Source organism: Homo sapiens, chromosome 6 (genome assembly GCF_000001405.40).
Source record: "Homo sapiens chromosome 6, GRCh38.p14 Primary Assembly".
Taxonomy (NCBI): domain Eukaryota; kingdom Metazoa; phylum Chordata; class Mammalia; order Primates; family Hominidae; genus Homo; species Homo sapiens.
In genome coordinates, this window is record NC_000006.12 from 76,659,945 (window position 1) to 76,666,320 (window position 6,376).

The 6,376-nt window shown below is 37.4% G+C and overlaps 1 pseudogene; it reads left to right on the plus strand.

Annotated features, from left to right (window-relative positions):
* LOC100131680 (52 kDa repressor of the inhibitor of the protein kinase-like) lies at positions 446-3,455 on the plus strand (annotated as a pseudogene).
* The last annotated feature ends 2,921 nt before the right edge of the window (positions 3,456-6,376 follow it).

Consider the following 6,376-nt stretch of genomic DNA (forward strand, 5'->3'; position numbering starts at 1 on the left):
TAGGTCTTATTTAATACAAGTAACCTTTGTTCTTTGAATTTACTCAGTTCCTGGGTTTAGATAACTTGTTCCTGGGTTTAGATAACTTGTTTGGATAGTTGTGTTCACATGTTAAAGGATGCTGTGATATCTGAATATCTGAATTATTTGGTTCCCTTTAGATATGGGATAGTGAGAGGTTTGGATAATGATGAATTTTTCTGAAAACTTACTTGAATCTATGTGAAAATAGAAATAGAGTTCAACTAGTAATCATTAATTGTGGTTCTGGAGAATTCTTAGTCCTCTTGTCAGCAATTTGTCAATGCTCATAGTGTGTTTGCCATGTTATTGGTGGTATTGATGATTTCAAAACACTGAGCTTAGAGAGAAAACATATCCTACCTGAATAAAGACTGGAATTTAAAAGCAGAAAAGCATGTGTAGCCTGCCCCTCCCTTTGTCACCAGCCAGGCTTCTCTCTCCAGCCAGACAGGCCTGTAGGCTACTCTGAGGATGTGGGATGAGGGTCTGGGTCAGCAGGCAGGCAGTGACAAGGCTGAACTTCAGCACTGCCCCCAACTGCAAGGGGAAGAGCAAGGAGTCTGACCTGGCCTTCTTCAGGTTCTGGGGGTTGTGGCCAGATGCCAGGAGAGGGTGGAGAATTGTAGCAGAGCAGAGACTTAGAAAATAAAACACCTAATCAACTAAATAAACATTATAAATTATATGCCGAACACTTTGAGAACTCTATGATCTGTAGACCTTGTATTTATAGGGCAGTTCTTTGAGATAATGCAACATCCACACGATGCGCTCTTACCAATCATTTAGACAATCCACATAGTAGACATAGAAAATGAATAAAAGAGTTGAGTGAAGATGAAATCAGAACATGGAAACAGAAAAAAAAAAAATGACCAAACTTCTCAACAGGAAAAGAAAATAATATAAAGAAACTAGTAACAGCAATGCTTAGAATCCCAAGTGCGGAAGAAGGAGATGAGGACATTTTATCTTTAACCCTTGAAGAGAAGCAAAACAAAGAATACCTAAAATTTCTATTAGAAATTTGTATTCTTACAGGAAAGCAAAACGTACCTCTATATAAACATGAAGCTGATGAAATCCCAGAAGGTCTCTTTACTCCTGATAACTTCTAAGAACTGGTAGAGTGGCTGGTAAATTCTGTTCAAGAGGTCCTGAGAAAGCACTTTGAGACAACTGCAGTTAACACACTGTTCTGTTAAGAAACCTATCAGAAACAGATGCTAGAGATCTGTCACAGCTATATTCAGGAAGAAATGTTCAGGGAAGTAAGAGACTCGCTCTTCTTTCCCTTATCACTGTCAATATAGAGGACATAATGGGGGAAGAGCATCACCTATGTTGGTGAGATTTGTCCATGAATCTCATAACCTGAAAGAGGATGTTGTAGGCTTCCCACCTTAGGAAGCTGATGCACAAAGTTTGGCTTTAAAATTCCACACTGTGGCAACTGAGAAGTGGGGGCTACAAATGGAGTATCATTATGGGCAGGCTTCCATTCTGTCCACTGAATTTTCTTCCAAAATGAAGTACTTGCTTCTAGACTTTGAAAAACATATCCCCAAGATACCTACAGAGGAGATATCTCTTCCTCTTCTTATGTCTTAAATATGTGGTTGGTAGAATCACTGACTGTTATGGGGAGTTTCTGTTGCATTGGGAACAATTGAAGTTTGTTCCTTTTTTCTTTTTTTTTTTTTTGAGACGGAGTCTCGCTCTGTCCCCCAGGCTGGAGTGCAGTGGCGTAATCTCGGCTGTCTGCAAGCTCCGCCTCCCGGGTTCACGCCATTCTGCCTCAGCCTCCCCAGTAGCTGGGACTACAGGCACCCGCCACCACGCCTGGCTAATTTTTTTTGTATTTTTAGTAGAGACGGGGTTTCACCATGTTAGCTAGGATGGTCTCGATCTCCTGACCTCGTGATCCCCCCGCCTTGGCCTCACAAAGTGTTGGATTACAGGCGTGAGCCACTGCGCCCAGCCTGTTCTTTTTTTCTATCAATCAGTTACCACAACTGCTTTTAGAACATGAAAATGTTATTTTTTTTCTTTTCCTGAAGAGTGAAGAAAGGGGTAAAGAACTGAAGGAAATTTGCCATTCTCCATGGACAAGAGGGCAGGATGCTTTTGAAATTTTAGTGGACCTTGTGAAAGCACTTATTTTATGTTGGCATGGTACAAATAGTGACACAAATATCAGATGCAATAATCGTATAGCTGCCCAAGCATTTGTACCCTGAAGTACAGTAACAGATTTTGATTTAATTGTTACCATTGTTGTTCTTTAAAATGTCCTATTTTTTTTTTTTTTTTTTTTTTTTTACAAGAGACTTTTGGAAAAATCTCTAGGGGCAAACCTCTGAGGTCTTGTCTGCAGCCAGTAGCTTGACTGCAATACTGCAGTCACTCAGTAAAGTGACAGAAAAAATTGAAGTTTATAATGAGTTTTGGTTTGAGGAAGCCACAATATGACAATCCAACTTGATGTTCAAATGAAATTCCCTGGGAAATTCCACAGAGCTCAGCAAGGTAACCTGAAATTCCAACTACCCTATGAGAGTTTTTATAAAGAAAACCTGTGTTCAACAGTGGAGCACATTATTCAGGAACTTAAAGACAGATTTTCAGAACAGCACCTCAAAGCTCTTAAGTGCTTATCTCTGGTACCCTCAGTCATAGGTCAGCTCAAATTTTACACATTAGAGGAACACTATACTGGCATGTATAGAAGTGACTTACCCCATCCCAGTGTGCTCTCAGCCAAACTGCATTGTTGGGGAATCAAATGGAAAGACAGAGGGAAGAGTGTAGAGCTTCCATCCACCATTTATGAAACTCTCCACTTGACTAAATCAAGTTTTTTACTAATGTGTATGCATTGCTGAAGGTCCTGTGTATCCTTCCTGTGATAAAAGTTGAGAATTTTTATCAACATAAAATGAAAATGGACAAAAGCATCTCAAAACATACTTGAGGAACCCTTTGACAGACCAAAGATTGAGTAACTTGGCTTTGCTTAACATAAATTTTGATCTAAAGCATGATCTGGATTTAATGGTGGACACATATATCAAACATTATCCAATTAAGTCAGAATTCCCCACAGATAATTCAGAAATCATTACAAATACTGAAAAGCTTCTCTAAACGGGCTTTATCTTACATTTGATATTTGGAAGAAAAGCTGTAAGTTGTATGCAGGTCACTCAATCACTGACTATCTCTGCTGATAGGCCTCCCATTGAATACATTAATTACTGATAATCTTACTATTTAAATGGCTCCTGCTTGAAATCTGATGCTTTGAGGACCTATTTTTTTCTTCCAGAAGCTAGCATTGAAAACACCCTGTTTTATGTCTGCATTATCTCTGCTACTGGCACTCTGGAATTGTTCTAGTTAAGTCATTTTGGGTATAACATTTATTATCATTTTGGATTTGATTCTTGGATATTGAGTTATCAATTCTTTGAAGAAATATATTTTGGGGAAGTGTGGGAGTAAGGATTACATCTTATAATATGTTACAATAAACCTCATAATTGACCTTTGACTAATAAGGATTTCAGGTATGTTGTTAAAAATCTGTAATTGACAGTTAAAGAATTACCAGAGTGAGAAGCTTGTGAGATCAAGAAACAAGGATTTTAGTGCAGGTTTTATCTTTAGTAAATGAACTTAAGGGAACAAGTTACAGTTAAAGTTGAATGGAAAAGCCTGCCGTTGTTGTTCCACATTTGGTTGTTACTGTTTATATTTCTTTGTTGAACCTACATCTTCATATGCTTTTTAGCAGGTGTATGTATAACACTTTCATTTATGGTCAAGGCAGAATCAGAGGCCGTGAATACTGACAACTGACTTGTCTGTTTTCTTCTGTCTTTTTCCATGACTATATCTTCTGCCTCATCTTGATTTATAAGCAAAAGCTGGAAAACTACAAAAATAAGTGTTTTTTATTTTATCTAGAAATATTATAGAAAATATTGCTATTTTTGAAGAAAATCAATTTTGTATAATTTATTTTAATCTAAATGTAAATTTTGTTTAAAAAGTATTCTGTATATTGTTTTTTATTATATGTATGTATTTAGCAAGTGATATTTCATTTATTTCACCAAATAGGTTCAATTAAATTAAACTCTTTTCTTCCTATTTAAAAAATTGCAAGTGGGAAATGTCACACACACACACACACACACACACACACACAGAGAGCTCGAGCGAGCGGCAAGCTTTATGCTTATGAATTTTTTGTTAAACAAGCCCATCAGGAATTTCCTTGGCAGTGCTTTGGCACATTATCTTCCCTACCCACTTATGAAAATCATCTATAAATACATCTATAACTGCATTGCTGATTCAGAAAGAAGTCAAATAAATCCTCAAAAGGGAAGCATATAGTGAAGATCATTAATCTAGAGTTGGGTGAGCAAGATTCAAGTCCCTGACTGTTCTAGGGAACTCCATTTATCCATGGTTTGTTCCATGAGCTTCATTTATATGGCTGCATAGGACTATAGAGTCAAAAGACAAAGCCTAGGTCCTGCTATGTCAGAAGTTTAACAAGAGAACCTCTGCATAAAGTCAGACCAGCGATGGTTACACCATCTGTAAAATAATCAACAAGGAGTAATTACTCCTTTTTTTTCCTTTTTCTTTTTCTTTTTTTTTTTGAGACGGAGTCTCGCTCTGCCTTCCAGGCTGGAGTGCAGTGGCGCGATCTTGGCTCACTGCAAGCTCTGCTTCCCAGGTTCACATCATTCTCCTGCCTTAGCGTCCCGAGTAGCGGGGACTACAGGCACCCACCACCACGCCCGGCTAATTTTTTGCATTTTTAGTAGAGATGGGGTTTCACCATGTTAGCCAGGATGGTCTCGATCTCCTGACCTCGTGATCCGCCCACCTTGGCCTCCCAAAGTGCTGGGATTACAGGCGTGAGCCACCACGCCCGGCCAACAAGGAGTAATTACTCTTTGCTGAGGTTCTGGGTTCGGGAGAAAATATAATCTCTCTTAAGACAATCTAACTATAACTCTTGTGAGATTTGTGGTCAAACCTAAGATCCATCCTACTGAAACTGAAGATGATCAAAGACAAAGAAGAAAATCTTAGAAGCACCCAGAAGGAAAAGACAGATTAAATACTGGAAACAACATTTAGATCAGCCAAATATTTCTCATCCTCAATAATGGAGCCAAAAAATAGCAAAATAACATTTTCAAAGTGTGATACAAAAATAAATCTTAACCTGGAATAGTATAACCAAGGAAGAGGGAGATACAAAGACATTTTCAGTGAGAGTCAAACAGAGAGTTTATTACTAATGGCTCCTTACCGAAAGATATTCTAAAGGATACACTCTGAAAGGCTAGAAAATAATTCCACAATGAATATCTGTAATTAAAAAAGGAAAGAGTTACTAGAATATGTGATAAAAATGGATAAATCACCACAAATGTTGTCTGTAAAACCCAAAGCAATAGAATATGATTTGTGAAATAATAAAAATAACTAAAATAGTAGAGAATAATAGCATGTAAGTCAATGCTTAGACATTACAGTTAAATAATTTTGTTTGAGAGGATAAAAATAATAATCTTTGAAGAATTAAATATGCTTCTAACATTTTAAGGTAAAAACTAAGAGTAACTTTCAAATTCACAGAGAGAAAAAAATGGGATAGGAAAAAAGTTCTCAATCAATTCAAACAAATGGAAGAAAGAAGGAGGACATGCACATGTATTACAATTTGCCAAGCATTATGGCTCCTCTTGTTGTTGACAATTATACTTCCATCTTGATGTCAGGTTTGTTCCTGTAATTTGCTCTAACCAATGGAATGTTATTGAGGAAGCTTTCTGGGCCAGGTAATGATTTGGCATCTTCCTTCTCCCTCTGCTGTGAGACTGGCAGAGGCTGCTTCTGAGTCCTGGAGGTAAGGTGAGTGGAGAGACAGTGATGGACTTATTAAATGAGTGTGAAACACATCTTTGTAGTGGCAGGCCCCTGTGATTTTAAAGATTAATTGTTTCCGGAAGTACAATCTAGCCTATCCTGACTGATAAGCGAGGAAAATCTTTCATAAAGATCTTTGGGGCTAATAGCTGTGTGACTTTGGGCAAGTCACTTCACCTTTCTGGGTCTTTATTTCCTCTTCAGTGAAATGATGTATTGTACAGACAGAAAAATCTCTTGAAGATGTAAAGGAAAAAGAAAAAGAAAACATGATCCAATTTATTAAAACCTTCAAAATAATAATCATTTCAAATCATACATATGCATATCTGCATCTATATCTACCTGTTTGTAAATGTAGAAGAGTAAATCCAGATGGATACAAACTAAATTG